General features: G+C 49.4%; 2 annotated features.

Moving 5' to 3' along the window:
* Positions 5,355–5,855: an enhancer, noted in NCBI's record as "H3K4me1 hESC enhancer chr17:74364735-74365235 (GRCh37/hg19 assembly coordinates)". NCBI's record gives its function as "activates a minimal SCP1, AML or CMV promoter by ChIP-STARR-seq in primed H9 embryonic stem cells {active_cell/tissue: H9 hESC(primed)}" and the evidence as "EXISTENCE:reporter gene assay evidence [ECO:0000049][PMID:30033119]".
* Positions 5,856–6,356: an enhancer, noted in NCBI's record as "H3K4me1 hESC enhancer chr17:74364234-74364734 (GRCh37/hg19 assembly coordinates)". NCBI's record gives its function as "activates a minimal SCP1, AML or CMV promoter by ChIP-STARR-seq in primed H9 embryonic stem cells {active_cell/tissue: H9 hESC(primed)}" and the evidence as "EXISTENCE:reporter gene assay evidence [ECO:0000049][PMID:30033119]".

The following is an 18,193-nucleotide window of genomic DNA, read 5'->3' as shown; positions in this document are numbered from 1 at the left end:
GAAAGGCACCGTCCAACACTCCACCTCCTCCTGGCTGGGCACAGCAGGCTGATGGGTCCCTTGAGGTACAGATGGTCCCAATGCAGAGTTAAAAAGACACATCAGTCTTCGTGACTCTGCATGGCCTAGAAAAATCTATAGCATCAGGACGTGCGGCATTTGCAAACAAGCACAAACCATTTAAGACTGGGTTCAGTGGCACACGCCTATAATCCCAGCATCTTGGGAGGCTGAGGCGGGCGGATCACCTGAGATCAGGAGTTTGAGACCAGCCTGACCAACATGGTGAAACCCCGTCTCTACTAAAAATACAAAATTAGCTGGGCGTGGTGTCACATGCCTGTAATCCCAGCTACTCAGGAGGCTGAGGCAGGAGAATTGCTTGAACCCGGGAAGCGGAGGTTGCAGTGAGCTGAGGTTGCGCCACTGCACTCCAGCCTGGGCAACAAGAGCGAAACTCCGCCTAAAAAAAAAAAGACCGAGTTCCGATTCCAATTGCCGTGTGACAAGTATCTGCCATTACTTGACTCTCAGATTGAGAATTTTGAGCTTCTAAAGAAAGAAAACACTCAATAACTGCAAAAGATGATAAACTCAGGGTTGGCTCTGCCTCCTTTCAGCTCTTGGCAGGCGTGTCATTCCTGAGGGAAGAGGCATGTGCAGTCCCACTAGCAGATCTGTCACCTCAATTTGCAGCCTTTAGTGGTATAGGAGCATGCCGCCTGGGAAAGGCTGAGCGGGAGCCAGGAGCCACAGCAAAGCCCAGGACGCTGAAGAGCGTGCTTGTCTCGGAGGCCTGAGTCTTTTTTTTTTTTTTTTTTTGAGACAGGGTCTTGCTCTGTCACCCCAGGCTGGAGTGCAGTGGCGCCATCTCAGCTCACTGCAACCTCCGCCTCAAATCTTTTTTTTTTTTTCTTCCGGATGGGGTCTCACTCTGTCACCCAGGCTGGAGTGCAGTAGCGCTATCCCAGCTCACTGCAACTTCCACCTCCTGGGCCCAAGCAATCCTTCCACCTCAGCTTCCTGAGTAGCTGGGACTACAGTCACGCACCACAACCCCCAGCTACTTTTTTTTTTATTTTGTATTTTTTCTAGAGACTGGGTCTCACTCTGTTACCCAGACTAGTCTCAAACTCCTGGACTCAAGCAATCTGCACACCTCGGCCTCCCAAAGTGCTGGGATTACAGGCATGAGTCACACCTGATCAATTTAGTTTTTAAAAGCATGCTTGGAGCCGGGCGCGGTGGCTCGCGACTGTAATCCCAGCACTTTGGGAGGCCAAGGCGGGCAGATGACGAGCTCAGGAGTTCGAGACCAGCCTGGCCAACATGGTGAAACCCCATCTGTACTAAAAATACAAAAATTAGCTGGGCATAGTGGTGCGCGCCTGTAGTCCCAGCCTCTTGGGAGGCTGAGGCAGGAGAATTGCTTGAACCTGGAAGGTGGAGTTTGTGGTGAGCCGAGATCGTGCCACTGCACTCCAGCCTGGGCAGCAGAGCGAGACTCCGTCTCAGAAAAAAAAAAAAAAGAAGCATGGTTGGGTGGCTGTCTGGGTGACGGCTGCTGCAGGAGGGCAGTGTGGCAGGGGTTTCTCATCTGCAAGGACCCTGAGCAGAACAGCAGGAACCTAATTCTAGTTCTAAACCAACAGCCTGCGTGTCACGTATGCTCAAGGAAGGCTGGCATGTCACCCATGAAAATGGTCTTCACAGATGTGGAAAACTAAGCCAGATTTACCAACCGGTGCTTGAGAAAAATGTCTTTTAGAATGAGAGACTCAGATTCCTTAAAAAATTAAGCATAGGGTTACTATATGACCTAGTAATTCCACTTCTAGTTCTGGTCTGTACCTAAGAGAGATAAAAACATGTCCACACAAAAACTCATCCAGGAATGTTCATAGAAGCATTATTCACAATAGTCAAGAGGTGGAAACAACCCAAATGTTGATGGATGACTGGATAAAGAAAATGTGGCCTAGTCACACAATGGAATATTATTTGTCCATAGAAGGGAATGAGGTCCTGACACATGCTACAGCGTGAATGAACTTCGAAAACATGACGCAGAGTGAGAGTCCAGATGCAAAAGGTCACCTATTGTATGAGTCAATTTCTACGAAATGTCCAGAATAAGCAAATTTGTAGACAGAAGGCAGGTTGGTGGTTGCCAGAGACTCTGGGGAGAGGGAGAATGAGGTAGAACTGCTTACTGGGCATGGGATTTCCTTTTGGGGTGATGAAGATGTTTTGGAACTACATAGACGTAGTGGTTTCACAACGTTGTGAGTGTACTTAATGCCACTGATTATGCACTTTAAGATGTTATGTGAATTTCACCACAGATTATTTATTTTTCTTTTTATTATTATTATTTAAAATGTCCGCTATTTAAAAAGGAATCTTGGCTCGCTGCAACCTCCGTCTCTCTGGTTCAAGTGATTTTCCTGCCTCAGCCTCCCCAGTAGCTGGGACTACAGGCGCGTGCCACCACGCTCGGATGTGGTAAGTACTAAGAGGACTCCTGAGTTTGGCCTCGGGCTATCCCTTAAGAAAAGCTGCTTTCTGGAGAGAAGGCAACAGATGCACACAAGGGTGCCTGCCTAGGGAATGGCTGAGGGCCGCATCTACTTCTGGGGTCATTTAGCACTGAGGTTTCCAACTAGGGAGCACGTAGGAATCACCTGCAGAGCCTGTGCCCCACTGCCAATGACTATGACTTCACTCACTGCTCTGGAATTTTTCATTTTCTTTCTTTCTTTTTTTTTTTTTTTTTTTTTTTTGAGACAGGGTCTCTGTCACCCAGGTGGGAGTGCAGAGGCACAAACACAGCTCACTACAGCCTCAACCTCCTGGGCTCAAGCAATCCTCCCACCTCAGCTTCCCGAGTAGCTAGGACCACAGGGGCATGCCACTGTGCCCAATTTTTTTTTTTTTTTTTTTTTTTTGGTAGAGACAGAGTCTCACTATGTGGCCCAGGCTGGCCACTCTTGAGCTCAAGTGATCCTCCCACTACAGCTTCCCAAAGTACTGGGATTATAGGCATGAGCCACTGTACCCAGCCTGGTCTGGAATTTTCCAGAGTTCCCCAGTGATTCTAAGGTACAGACAAGTTTGGGAACTACTGACTTAGTATAAAGGAAGGCTGTTTTCCAAGTAGATGAACAAACTAAATAAGGATTCAGGGAGATTTGTGTAATTGCCACAGAAAACTTCTTGAAAGGCATTAGGCCGTGCACGGTGGCTCACACCTGTAATCCCAACACTTTGGGAGGCTGAGGCGGGCGGATCACTTGCGATCGGGAGTTCGAGACCAGCCTGGCCAACATGGCGAAACCTCATCTCTACTGAAAATACAAAACTTAGACGAGCATGGTGGTGGGCGCCTGTAATCCCTGCTATTTGGGAGGCTGATGCAGGAGAATTGCCTGAATCCAGGAGGCGGAGGCTGCAGTCAGCTGAGGTCGCACCGCTGCACTCCAGCCTGGGTGACAAGAGCAAAACTCTGTCTCAAAAAAAGAAAAAAAAAAGAAAGGCATTAGGAACTATAGTGATCCCAGTGACTATTTCACATCTGGAAATGAATCAGGCATACTGCAGAAATGACACATACTATTATAATCTCTCCCCACATCCTCCCAGACACCGGCGTGGGAATGTGGGAACAGTGACAGCACTGGCTGCCACCCAGGCTCTACGAGAAGCGGGGTCAGGCCTGGCTTTGCCGTTCCTACAGTGGCTCCCGCTAGGTGGTGTCAAAGCAGGCGCTCTTGTGAATTAAAAAAAAAAAAAAGCTAAATTAAATCCTATTTCCCTGTTGAACAGTAATACAATTTTGAAAATGCATTTTTCTTAAGAGCTAATTGGTATTTAATTACTGAGGGAGTCTATTTTCCCTAGTGTGTAAAATGAAGATAAACTTACCTTCCTACCATGAGGACTTTGAGACCGCACCCTGGTGGCCAGCTAGGATGTTAGCCTAGAATTTTCCTGCTGCCTCCACCTCTCGCCGCACTGTTATTTCCCAATATGGGTTAGGTTTCTAAGAACCTGACCGTGTTTCCATGGTGGTAGTTTTGGAATAGCAGCTTGAAATGTGTGAAGGAATGGGAAAGGAATGATGAGAAGAGGAGAATGAAGGAGGAAGCCATGGGTCAGTGGGGAAGGGGAAGGAGGTGCTGGGAAGCTCTCAGGTCAAGGCTACCTGGCTTAGGAGTTGGCTCTATGCACAGTCTGGAACTTGGGCTCATAACGGTGTCCGACTCGTGTCTTTCCACCAGCCCTGATATCCCATTTGTGTGAACCCTTCCTGGATAATCACTAGAAAGACAATTTTTCATCCAAGAAAACAGCATATGTTTCTGAAAGCACTTGACTCCCTGGGGAAGTGTTCACATTATCTGCTTCTGAGTAGTGAACCATCCTAAAGTGCAGTGGCCTGAAGCAGTAATTTACTAACCCCCACTGTGGGCTGCCGGCTGATGGGTCTCAGCTGGGTGGTCCTCACTTGGAGTCTCCGGTGGTTGCAGCGTCAGCGGGGCTAAACATCTGAGACAGCTCCTTACCATGGCGATGATAACAGGCGCTGGCTGTCAGCTGTCAGCTCAGCTGGGGCTGCTGGCCAGAGTGTGGCCCCTTGTGTGACATGGCGGCAGGGCTCCAGGAGGGAATGTCCCAGGAGTAGTCAGTCCAGGAGACCCAGGCCGAAGCTGCAAGGCTTTTCATGCCTGAGCCTCAGACATCCCAGAATGTCCCTTCTACCACTTTTTGGTCAAGCAAGTCACTGAGACCAACCCAGATTCCAGGGACAGGAGTTAGAATCCCCACCGCCTTTTGAAGAGCAGTTCATGCTGTGTCGCCCAGGCTAGAGTGCAGTGGCGCAGTCTTAGTTCACCGTAACCTCTAACTCCTGGGGCTAAAGCAATCTTCCTGCCTCACTTCCCAAGCAGTTGGGACTACAGGCATGCAGCACCACCACCGGCTCACTTCCCTCTCAATACAAGCGGCTAACGTTTATCCAGCTCTTGTTTTGTGCCGGCCCCGGGCTAAGCGATGCACATATGTAGCCAGTTTCATGAAGGACACATGTCCTGTTAAAGTGAACATTAACAAAAGGTTTAATTTTCTCTGATAAACACCACCAGCTCTGTTTGTTCGAAATCTCCATTTCCACTGAGCATAAGATTCCCCACGAGGGCACTCAGTATGATTCCACATTTTTCTAGCCATGTTTTGCTATTAAGACAGCCTAGTGCCGGGCGCAGTGGCTCACGCCTGTAATTCCAGCACTTTGGGAAGCCAAGGTGGGCAGATCACTTGAGGTCAGGAGTTCGAGACCAGCCTGGCCAACATGGTGAAACCCCATCACTACTCAAAATACAAAAATTAGCACAGGGTGTGGAGGTGCATACCTGTAATCCCAGCTACTCAGGAGGCTGAAGCATGAGAATCGCTTGAACCAGAGAGATGGAGGTTGCAGTGAGCCAAGATCGCACCACTGCACTCTAGCCTGAGCGACAGAGTGAGACTGTCTCAAAAAAAAAAAAAAAAATGAAAAAAAAAGTCAATCCTGCCTCAAAAGACCCTCATCCCTTCCCAGCACAGGCGCCAACACTGGGGTGAAGACACGGCACGTCTCTTCCCCCACCGCCCCATCCCTGTGCTGATTCTGTGAGGCTGCGGCAGGAAGGAGAGAAATTGAAAGCAGATGTGATTCCCGCAGGGCCTGATGGGTGGTGGCGCTGCTTTCCCCTTGCTGGGGGCTTTGTTGCAGAGACCAGGCTTTCTCAAGCTCAGCACTGTTGATGTTTGGGGCTGGCTCATTCTCTGCGGCAGGGGCCTGTCAGTGCACTGTTCCTCAGCGTCCCTGGCTTCTGCTCACCAGATGCCAGTAGCAGCCCCCAAGTTGTGACAACCAAAAATGTCTCCGGACCTTGCCAAATGCCCCTGCGGGACACACTTGCCACTGACTGAGAACCAGGGCTCTACTGATTTGGTGTGGCCAAGGGACAGCTGCTCAGGCCTGCTGATGAGAGGCGGTCTCCTAAGCGGCTCCCCTGGGTGACACGTTCTGCTGACTCCAGGAGGTGGCCTCATGCCATATTGCTCTGAGAGGGTACCCCCACTCCCAGTCCCGTAATCCGCAGGACTGGGATTCCCATACTCTGGACTCGACCATACTCTAGACTTGACTCTGGGCCCTTAGGTTCAGCATCCATCTTCTGAAGGGGACCAGGTGCGGTGGCTCACGCCTGTAATCCCAGCACTTTGGGAGGCCGAGATGGGCAGATCATTTGAGGTCAGGAGTTCAAGACCAGCCTGACCAACATGGTGAAAACCTGTCTCTACTAAAAATACAAAAATTAGCCACGTGTCGTGGCCCACACCTGTAATCCCAGCTACTTAGGAGGCTGAGGCAGGAGAATCATTTGAACCTGGGAGGTACAGTGCGGGGGTGGGGGGAGTCCGTCCCGCAGATCCTGACCCAACGACGGATGAATAACTTACACTGACACAGATATTCTGCTTGTCAGTCCAGCTAAGGGTCTGGGCCCCTCACAGACACCAAGGAAGGTGCTGTAAAGAATAGCAGCCATGGCCTCGACTGGCTGGCCCTGCTGGCATTTGTTCAGCACACATTAAATGACAAACGTCTCAAGTAAACACCACTAGAAGGTAATTACCATTGCTCACCCCCCAGGTAGACAGCAATCTTGCACCCATGGATGGTCAAAGGTTAGTCTTAGGACCACGTGGGTAAACAAGCTATTTAGATAGACTCCTCTACATTCCTGTGTTAATTACCCTTGCTATAACTCAAAGAGGATTAGGCTGCCTTCAGCCATAACTCTATTTTGAGGCTTTTGCAAAAACCTTCAGGCCTTCCAAGAAAGTTTGTGTTTATTTTACAATTTCTCCCACCATCCTGACTGAACCCCTCCAGTGGAGGTTGCAGTGAGCCGAGATTGTGCCACTGCACTCCAGCCTGAGCTACAGAGCGAGACTGGTCTCAAAAAACAAACAAACAAACAAAAACGTCTCCTGAAGGGATGGGTGGTCCCAGCCCTCAGTGCTTTCCAAACCTCAGGAGCCCCAGGGCAGAGCAGCCAATGCACAGCCAAGACAGCCAGCAGGAACACAGGTGTGCTTCCCTGCCCTCCCACACACTTGACAGACAGTGATTCCACTGTGTCCCCAACCCCTACAACCTCCATCTGGTTTCAAGAGAAACCAGTCAAGTCCTCTCAAAAGAGTGAGGCTTGGCCGGGCACGGTGGCTAACGCCTGTAATCCCAGCACTTTGGGAGGCCGAGGCAGACAGATCACTTGAGATCAGGAGTTGGAGACCAGCCTGACCAACATGGTGAAACCCCGTCTCTACGAAAAATACAAAAATTAGTTGGGTGTCGTGGCAGGCACCTGTAATCCCAGCTGTTCAGGAGGCTAAGGCAGGAGAATCACTTGAACCCGGGAGGCGGAGGTTGCAGTGAGTCGAGATCGCGCCATTGCACCCCAGCCTGGGTGACAGACCGAGACTCTGTCTCAAAAGAAAAAAAAAAAAGAGTGAGGCTTGCTCAGGCATGGCTCACACTTGTAATCCTAGTACTTTGGGAAGCCGAGGCAGGCAGATCACCTGAGGTCAGGTGAGAGAGAGAAAGAGAAAAATGAGGGGCTGGGCGGGGTGGCTCACGTCTGTAATCCCAGCACTTTGGGAGGTCAAGGTGGGTGGATCACCTGAGGTCAGAAGTTCGAGACCAGCCTGACCAACATGGTGAAACCCCGTCTCTACTAAAAATACAAATATTAGCCAGGTGTGGTGGCAGGCGCCTATAATCCCAGCTACCCGGGAGGATGAGCAGGAGAATCACTTGAACCTGGGGGTTGGAGGTTGCAGTGAGCTGAGATCACGCCACTTCTTTCCAGCCTGGGCGAAAGAGCGAAACTCCATCTCAAAAAAAAAAAAGATTGAGGCCTTTTCTCACAGACACCAGCTCTCCCCAAAAGGTGGCCCCTTCCCTCACTTCTCTCCCTCTTTCTTTCAGGGCAGGTGCAATGACATTTGACACCAACTACCTGGGGTTGGGCCTCAGGTGATGCCTTCCTCCACAGGACAGCCCTCACTTCAGACACCAGCTGCAAGTTCAGGGTCCTCACTTTTGACCAGATGGCCTCAAATTCAGGGGTTCCCACCACCCCCTCAGATTCCTAATTCACTAGAATGACTCACAGCACTCAGGTAAATGCTGAAGTTTCATTTACAGTTTTATTACAGCAAAAGAACACGAATCAGAACCAGCCACAGCCAGAAGCACTGCGTCCGGGCTGGGTGGGTCCCCGGTGCAAAGCGCTGTTATCCTCAGGGACACCTTAACCCTCCTGGTACCTCCATCTGTGACAATAGACAGAGCATCACTAACCAGGGAAGCTCACCCGAGCCTCTGTGTAGAGTTGTCCTTGGGGTTTTATATGCAGGCATGATGGAGGAATCATACACCACACACTAAACTCAAGCTCCAGCCCCTCCGTCCCCGGAAGTCAGGCTGATAACAAGTGGCTCAAAGACCCAACCTTCTAATTTTGTTTTCTTTTTCTTTCTGCTTTTTTTTTTTTTTTTTTTTTTGAGACAGGTTCTTGCTGTGTTGTTCAGGCTGGAGTGCAGTGGTGTGATCACGGCTCACTGCAGCCTCAAACTCCTGGGCTCAAATGATCCTCCCTTATGGTCCCTCTTATGGGACCGTAAGCATGCACCAACACACCCAGCTAATTTTTAAATTTTTTTGTTTGTTTGTTTGTTTTGAGACAAGGGCTCCCTCTGTCGCCCAGGCTGGAGTGCAGTGGAAGGATCATAGCTCACTGTAGCCTCAATCACCTTCCATCACCCAGGCTCCAGAGCCACAGCCTTCTAATCTCACGGTTGGTCTTCCTGGACCTAGAGTCATTTGCATAAATGATCGGGTGTCCTCCGAGGCCCGATCGTGAGTAACACAGACACTACTATCACTCAGGAAATTCTGAGGATTTACAGGTTACCTCCCAGGAACCAGGAACAAAAGCCAGTGGAATTCTCAATTCCACACAGGGTTGACAGCGTCAGTGTCGAGAGGCATCTCCCAGCCAGCCCCCTCAGTGGGTGGTTCCCTGAACCAAGAATTGGGGGTGCATTTTATTCTCAGCGGTGGGCTCTCCTAATTCCAGGAAAACGTGGAGGATCACACAGGGCACCTCACTCCTCCTTGTCATCCACTCTCCATCTCATTTAGCTCTCACAGCAACCTCCAGGCAGGGTCAGGCATGAGCCACTGTACCCAGCCTTTTTTTTTTTTTTTTTTTGAGACAGAGTCTCTCTCTGTTTCCCCGGCTGGAGTAAAGTGGTGCGATCTCTGCAACCTCCACATCCTGGGTTCAAGCAATTCTCCTGCCTCAGCCTCCCAAGTAGCTGGAATTACAGGCTCGCGCCACCACACCCAGCTAATTTTTTGTATTTTTAGTAGAGATGGAGTTTCGCCATGTTGCCCAGGCTGGTCTCAAACTTCTGACCTCGAGTGATCCGCCCGCCTCGGCCAGCCAAAGTGCTGGGATTACAGGCATGAGCCACTGTGCCCGGCCTAAGGCTTGATTTATACATTTTAGGAAGACAGAAGTTACAGGAAAAGACATAAATGGACAGAGGTAAGGTATACATTGGCTCAGCCCAGAAAGGTGGGACATCTTGAAGTGGGGGTGGTTTCCAGGTCATAGGTAGATTTCAACATTTGCTGATTGGCAATTTGTTGAAAATGGTAAGCTCTGCCTGAAGAGCTGAAATCAGCTTGAGTTATGGTAAGTGGTGGGTGGTTGTGGAAGCCAAAGTTCTTGTCTTGTAGATGACGCCTTCAGGTAGCAGGCTTCTGAGAGAAGAGATGTGAATGTCACAGGTGCCAGTCTCTCCAGAGAGACCTGAGAAGGGAAGGGGATTCTCTACAGAATGCAGATTTCCCCCATAAAAGAAAGCTTTGGAGGGCCATTTCAAAATATGTCAAAAAAATGTATTTTGGGAGACCAGGCGCGGTGGCTCATGCCTGTAATCCCAACACTTTGGGAGGCCAAGGTGGCTGGTGGATCACCTGAGGTCAAGAGTTCAAGACCAGCCTGGCCACCATGGTGAAACCCCATCTACTAAAAATACAAAAATTAGCTGGGCATGGTGGCAGGCACCTGTAATCCCACTACTCGGGAGGCTGAGGCAGGAGGCCAAGGTTGCAGTGAGCCAAGATGGCACCATTGCACTCCAGTCTAGACAAGAGCGAAACTCCATCTCAAAATTTAAAAAAAGAAATATACTTTGGGGAAAATCCTTTTGTTACTGGTGGAGGGTGTCCAGGTTTTTGGTGTCTTAAATAATTGTACAAAATTCACAAACAAACAAAGGAAAGAATGAAGCAACAAAAGCAGAGACTTATTGAAAACAAAAGTACAGGCCGGGCGCGGTGGCTCACGCCTGTAATCCCTGCAGCATTTTGGGAGGCCAAGGCAGGCGGATTACTTGGGGCCAGGAGTTCGAGACCAGCCTGGCCAACATGGTGAAACCCCGACTCTACTAAAAATACAAAAATTAGGCCAGGCGCGGTAGCTCATGCCTGTAATCCCAGCACTTTGGGAGGCCAAGGCAGGCGGATCACGAGATCAGGAGTTCAAAACCAGCCTGGCCAATATGGTGAAACCCCCATCTTTACTAAAAATACAAAAATTAGCTGGGCGTGGTGGTGCGTGCCTGTAATTCCAGCTACTCAGGAGGCTGAGGCAGAAGAATCGCTTGAACCCAAGAGGCGGGGTTTGCAGTGAGCTGAGATCGTGCAGCTGCACTCCACCCTGGGCAACAGAGGAAGACTCTGTCTCAGAAACAAAACAAAACAAAAATTATCTGGGCGTGGTGGCGATGCCTATAATCCCAGCTACTCAGGAGGCTGAGACATGAGAATTTCTTGAACCTGAGATCGTGTCACTGCATTCCAACTTGGGTGACAGGGCAAGACTCTGTCTCAAAAAAAAAAGAAAAAACAAAACAAAAGTACACTCCACAGGGTGAGAGCAGCCTGAGCATAGGGGCTAATTTTTGGGGGTTTAAATACCCTCTAGAAGTTTCCATTGGTTACTTGGTGTACGCCCTATGTAAATGAAGGGATGAAGTAAAGTTACAAAGTCATTCACTCGGTGTACGCCCTATGTAAATGGAGAGGATATTTCCTGTCATAGTTGAAGTGTTTCCATTTGATTCAGTTCTAGGAAGTCCTTAGAGTCCCTGCTTCCAGATCCTATTCTCCTGTCTCACTTTGATTGCCTTTTTTTTTTTTTTTTTTTTAAGAGACAGGGTCTCACAGCTCACTGCATCCTCAACCTCCTGGGCTCAAGGGATCCTCCCACCTCAGCTTCCCAATTAGCTGGGAATACAGACATGAACCACCATGCCCAGCTAACTTTTGTGTTTTTTGTAGAGATAGGGTTTCACCATGTTGCCCAGGCTGGTCTTGAATTCTAGGCTCAAGCCATCCGCCCGCCTTGGCCTCCCAAAGTGCTGGGATTACAGGCGTGAGCCACCACGCCCAGCCTTATTTTTTTTACTATTTTATTTTTTGAGACAGGGTTTTGCTCTTGTTGCCCAGGCTGGAGTACAGTGGCGCCATCTCAGCTCGCTGCAACCTCTGCCTCCCAGCTTCAAGCAATTCTCCTGCCTCAGCCTCCTGAGTAGCTGGAATTGCAGGCATCTGCCACCATGCCCAGCTAGTTTTTTGTATTTTTAGTAGAGATGGGTTTCACCATGTTGGCCAGGCTGGTCTCAAACTCCTGACCTCAGGTGATCCTCCCGCCTTGGCCTCCCAAGGGAGGCTGGGATTATAAATGTGAGCCTCCATGGCCGGCCCATAGCTGCCTTTGGACATTTGCATTGTTTGGGGGTTTTTAGCTCTCATAGACCTGGACCCTCTTGAACTGACAAATTTGGCACAGTTGAGCCAAGAACCTTGTGACTTCCTGAATCATTTGCCTCCTGAGTTGTTATAATGTCTCCTTAGTGTTTGCCTCCTGCCTTCTCAGCCCCTACAGCCCTGGCCTTTTTCCTTGCTCCGTTTCTGTCTCTTCCACCCCATCTTGCCAGTGCAGCTATGAATCCGGCCATAGGGGCAAGGAAGCATGTCATTTGGCAGGAGCTTCTGCGGTGCACAGAGAGAAGGCACTAGAAGCCCCTTGAGGGTTTCCACTTGAACCAAAGTCTTCAATGATGTTCGGGCATTTCAGACCCCCTCAAATGCCTCCAAAGACTCCCACCAAGAGCTACTGAAACCGAGGCATAGGTGAGGTCGAGGACTCAGTGCCTTGTGATTCCATTTCAGATTTTCCAGAGACCAGCCCAGCAGCTGCTGCCTACCACTGTCCTTGCTGAAGCTGGGAAGGGTCACTCCTAGCAGGCTTGGCTCTGTCTGCCTGTATTTTGCTCCTGCCCCCAGCATGGTTTCTGGTACCCTATAGAGAGAATCAGCTTAGAGATCCAAGTTGGTATTATTTTTAGAAATAAAGATCACTCAGTCCCAGCTTGCTGAGGCTTGTTTGGAGAATGAAAACAGGGAAAGGCCTCATATTTTTCCAAAGTTCAAGTTGGAGTGGCGCAACGTGGATGCAAAACTTCTGAATTATTGCCTGAAATGTTCTTTATCCTTGCAAAGACTGACCTTGTCTTCCAATTAGTTCCTCCCTTGGGGACAGGGCTGAGCAATCCTAAACACACCCCTCTTTGTCTTGTCCTGTTTGTTCCTGGACAATATTTCATGCCAAATCTCTACTTATGCCACCCTTTGTCTTCTAGTTTCTAGTACAGAGGAGATCTTTCTATAATTCATGCCGAAACTGGCCCGGTTAACAAGCAGCTCATTTTTTAAAACTTGAAAACTGAAATAGGGTTGTAGATGCAAAATGTCATTTTGTGGAGGCACAGCTGTCTTCGTTCTGGCAGGAGGTATCCAGCTGGTCTGGAACCTCAAGAGTCAGTCTGGTCTTATAAAGAGAAACGGTAAAAAAAACAAAACTGGTCAAGTGAAGTCTCACTTCAAACGTCAAAAAAGACATGTTAAGGCCGGGCGCGGTGGCTCACGCCTGTAATCCCAGCACTTTGGGAGGCCGAGGCGGGCGGATCACAAGGTCAGGAGTTCAAGACCACCCTGGCCAATATGGTTGAAACCCCATCTCTACTAAAAATACAAAAATTACCCAGGCGTGGTGGCGCATGCCTGTAATCCCAGCTACTTGGGAGGCTGAGGCAGGATAATTGCTTGAACCCAGGAGGCGGAGGTTGTGGTGAGCCGAGATTGTGCCGTTGCACTCCAGCCTGGGTGACAAGAGCAAAACTTCATTTCAAAAAAAGAAAAAATCAGCCGGGCGCGGTGGCTCATGCCTGTAATCCCAGCACTTTGGGAGGCCGAGGAGGGCGGATCACAAGGTCAGGAGATCGAGACCATCCTGGCTAACACGGTGAAACCCCGTCTCTACTAAAAATACAAAAAATTAGCCAGGCGTGGTGGCGGGCGCCTGTCGTCCCAGCTACTCAGGAGGCTGAGGCAGGAGAATGGCGTGAACCCGGGAGGCGGAACTTGCAGTGAGCCGAGATTGTGCCACTGCACTCCAGCCTGGGTGACAGAGCAAGACTCAGTCTCAAAAAAAAAAGAAAGAAAGAAAGAAAAAAATCCCTGACCCATCAGTAAAAATGAAGACTCTGTGGAAGTTGTCAGAAGCAAAATTGAGTCACTTGTGTTAAAACAAAACAAAAAGCTCTGACAAATAGAGCTGGGAAAGGCTATAAAGAGAAGGTTCTTATGCATAAATGCCAGATAACAAAAACTATCACGGAAGACTCAGCAAAAATCACAACCTTGCACAAAGGCCACTGAAACCTTACACAAAAAATACTTCTGCGAGGGCATCTGCCCAGCAACTGCCTGTACAACCTGGCACTGGGTCACACTTGTTGTTGATCCTTGTAGCCAAGGAAAATTATCCCAAAACAATTGTGTAATCCCCCTCAATCTTCCTCTAAAAACGTTCGTCCTCCTTTACCTAGTTGGATACACACATAGTTTACTATGGCACACATATTCCCATTGTCATGCCCGATCCCAAATAAACGTTGCTTTATTTCAGAGAGTCTCTCTCTCTTTTTTGTTTTGAGACAGAGTCTCACTCTGTTGCCCAGGCTGGAGTGCAATGGGGCGATCTCGGCTCACTGCAACCTCAGCCTCCCGGATTCAAGCGATTCTCCTGCCCTAGCCTCACTAGCAGCTGCGAATATAGGCGGATGCCACAACACCCAGCTAATTTTTGTATTTTTAGTAGAGACAGGCTTTCACCATGTTGGTCAGGCTGGTCTCGAACTCCTGACCTCAGGTGATCCTCCCACCTCGGCCTCCCAAAGTGCTGGAATTACAGGCGTGAGCCACCATGCTGGGCCACAAATTCTGTTTAACAAGATTAAATCTGACTCCAAGTCCTCTGCCAGGACTGGTACATAAAAGAGCCCCAGGGCCTTCCGCAGTTCCTGAGCTTCAAGGAGAGCCTCCGGTCTTCATTCTTTCCTCATCTTTATGAGAGTCCCCAGGGTACTTGTTGGAGTCCCCACCTCCTCGTCCAACTGTCCCTTCAATTTGTGAGGACTCCCCCTCTCCAAGGCTGGGGCACTCAGGGACACTTCAGTTCTTGCCTTTGGGAATTTAGGCTTTCAATAATAAAAGCCTCAATTCCAGCTGCTCGGGAGCGTCATTTGAACCCAGGAGTTTGAGTCCAGCCTGGGTAACATAGTGAGACCCTGTCTCTTAAAAAATAAATAAATAAAAATAATAAAAGCCTCTTAAGGGAGTCTCAGGTCCTCAAACACGTCCCTGTGCGCCTTCTTTCTCTTAAGACATGCAGGAAAATATGACTCAGATAATGTCTAAGTCAGGTTATTTTGCCACTTTGTTTATGAGCATTTCCCCATCATCAATGATTCTTTTAAAAGCAAACCTTTTTTTTTTCGTTTGAGACAGTCTTGCTCTGTCACCCAGGCTGGAGTGCAATGGTGTGGTCTTGGCTCACTGCAACCTCCACCTCCCGGGTTTAAGTGATTCTCATGCCTCAGCCTCCCGAGTAGCTGGGATCCGAGGTGCTCCTCACCACATCTGGTTAATTTTTGTATTTTTAGTAGAGATGTGGTTTCGCCATGTTGGCCAGGCTGGCCTTGAACTCCTGATCTCAGGTGATCCACCTGCCTTGGCCTCCCGAAGTGCTGGGATTGTAGGCGTGAGCCATTGTGCCAGACAAAGCAAACGTTTTTTTTTTAATTTTAATTTATTATTTATTTATTTAGAGACAGGGTCTCGCTCTGTGGCCCAAGCTAGAGTGCAGTGGCGCAATCTCGGCTCACTGCAACCTCCACCTCCCAGGTTAAAGCGATTCTCCTACCTCAGCCTCCTGAGTAACTGAGATTACAGGTGCCTGCTACCACACCTGGCTAATTTTTGTTATTTTTAGTAGAGATGGGTTTTGCCATGTTGGCCAGGCTGGTCTCAAACTCCTGACCTCAGGTAATCCACTAGCCTCGGCCGCCCAAAATGCTGAGATTACAGGCATGAGCCACCATGCCCAGCCTTGTTTGATTAATTGATTGATTGCTTGATTGATTTTGAGATGGAGTCTCGCTCTGTCGCGCAGGCTGGAGTGCAATGGCGTGATCTTGGCTCGCTGCAACCTCCACCTCTGGGTTCAAGCCATTCTCCTGCCTCAGCCTCCCGAGTAGCTGGGATTACAGGCGCCCACCACCACGCCCAGCTACTTTTTTGTATTTTTAGTAGAGACAGGGTTTCACTATGTTGGCCAGGCTGGTCTCGAACTCCTGACCGTGTGATCTGCCCACCCTGGCCTCTCAAGGTGCTGGGATTAGAGGCGTGAGCCACCGTGCCCAGCTCCAGCCTTTTTTTTTTTTTTTTTTTTTTTTAAAGTGATAGAGTTTTATGATGCTGTCCAGGCTGGAGTGCAGTGGCTGTTCACATTTGTGAGCCTTGAACTCCTGGGCTCAAGGGATCCTCCTGCCTTAGCCTTCTGAGTAGCTGGGACCACAGGTGTGGGCCACCACACCCAGCTCCTAAAAAGCAAACTTTCTGATGGTTGCCAAATATTCCATCATTCGGAGGCATCATCATTTGTATAGCTATTCTGTTATTTGGGGGCATTTCGGTTGTTTCTAATTTTTTAGTGGCTAAATTGAGTAGGTGCTCCTGAGGCCCAACGTGCTATCTTTGGGCATTGAGCAATGAGCTGTTTCTGTCCCTTCACTTCCCTCCTCAGGTACACAGACCCCTGCAATGCTTCTGTGGGAGGGGGGACTGCAGGGGAAACGTGGGTCACAAGCATTGCAGAGGGCTTTGAGCATCAACCTCTTCTGAGGAGGACATGGGAGAAAGCAAGCCAGACCATGGCAGGCCTACGTGTCAGACGGGATGCGTGACACCCTAGGCAGGCTCAGCATGCCTGCTTTAGTCTGTCTGGGCTGCTACAAAATAGACTGGGTGGCTTAAAAAACAGACACTTACTTCTCACAGTCCTAGAGGCTGGAAGTCCCAGCTCAGGGAGCCACATGGTCGGGTTCTGGTGAGGGCTCTCTTCTAGGCTGCAGACGGCCACCTTCTCCCTATGTTCTTACATGGCAGAGAGAGGAGAAGCCCTGATGTCTCTTCCTCCTTTAGGGGCACTAATCCCATCATGGGGTCCCCACCCTCATCTAACTCCAGCTCACCTCCAAACATTCCACCTCCTAGTCCCATCACACTGGGGGTTAGAACTTCAACATATTAATTTTGGGAGGACACAAACTTTCAGTCCATAACAATGACCATTGGCCACCCTGGGCATCCCCACATTGTTGCAAAGCCCATGCTTGTGCTGAGGAGTGGGATCCCGGAAGTGTTACCGGTGGAGGGTGTCCACGTTCTTGGCATCTTGAACAAAGAATTAGACAAAACGCACAAACAAAGCAAGGAAAGAATGAGGCAACAAAAGCAGAGATTTATTGAAAATGAAAGTACACCCCACAGGGTGGGAGTATGCCGAGCATAGGGGCTCAAGAGCCCCGTTACAGAATTTTCTGGGGTTTCAGTACCCTCTAGAGGTTTCCATTGGTTACCTGGTGCACGCCCTATGTAAATGAAGGGAATGAAGTCAAGTTACAAAGTCATTCACTCAGTGTATGCCCTATGTAAATAGGATTATTTCCTGTATGCCCTATGTAAATGGAGAGGATATTTCTTGTCATAGCTGAAGTATTTCCATTTTATTTCGTTCTAAGAAGTCAGCGTGAATTGGCCTTACGTACCCTGCCTCCAGACCCTATTCTCCTGCCTCAGAAGTGTTTCGTGCTCCCCTTTTCAGCAAGCATTTATTTTTAATTTTTTTGAGTCAGAGTCTTTCTCTGTTGCCCATGCTGGAGTGGAGTGGCTCAATCGTAGCTCACTGCAGCCTTGGACTTCCGGGCTCAAGGGATCCTCCTGCCTCATCCTCCCAAGTAGCTGGGGCTATAGGCTGATTAACTTTTTATTGTTGTTATTGAGACAGAGACTCACTCTGTTGCCCAGGCTAGAGTGCAGTGGCACGATCTCGGCTCACTGCAACCTCTGCCTCCTGGATTCAAGTGATTCTTCTGCCTCAGCCTCCGGAGTAGAAGGGACTACAGGCATGTGCCACCACATCTGGCTAATTTTTTTTTTTTGAGATGGAGTCTCGCTCTGTTGCCAGGCTGGAGTGCAGTGGCTTGATCTTGGCTCACTGAAATCTCCACCTCCTGGGTTCAAGTGATTCTCCTGCCCCAGCCTCCCGAGTAGCTGGGACCACAGGCGCGCCACCACCCCCGGCTAATTTTTGTATTTTTAGTAGAGATGGGGTTTAAGCATGTTGACCAGGATGGTCTCAATCTCCTGACCTCGTGATCTGCCCACCTCGGCCACCCAAAGTGCTGGGATTGCAGGCGTGAGCCACCGTGCCCAACCTGTTTTTTTTTTTTTTTTTTTTTTTTGAGAGGAGGTCTCACTCTGTTGCCCAGGCTGGCACAATCTCGGCTCACTACAACCTCCGCCTCCCAGGTTCAAGCGATTCTCCTGCCTTAGCCTCCCAAGTAACTGGGATTACAGTTGCCTGCCACCACACCT

This window comes from Homo sapiens, chromosome 17, assembly GCF_000001405.40.
Source record: "Homo sapiens chromosome 17, GRCh38.p14 Primary Assembly".
Taxonomy (NCBI): Eukaryota; Metazoa; Chordata; class Mammalia; order Primates; family Hominidae; genus Homo; species Homo sapiens.
Note: the sequence above shows the minus strand (reverse complement) of the source record. Positions and strands in the feature narration are given on the sequence as shown.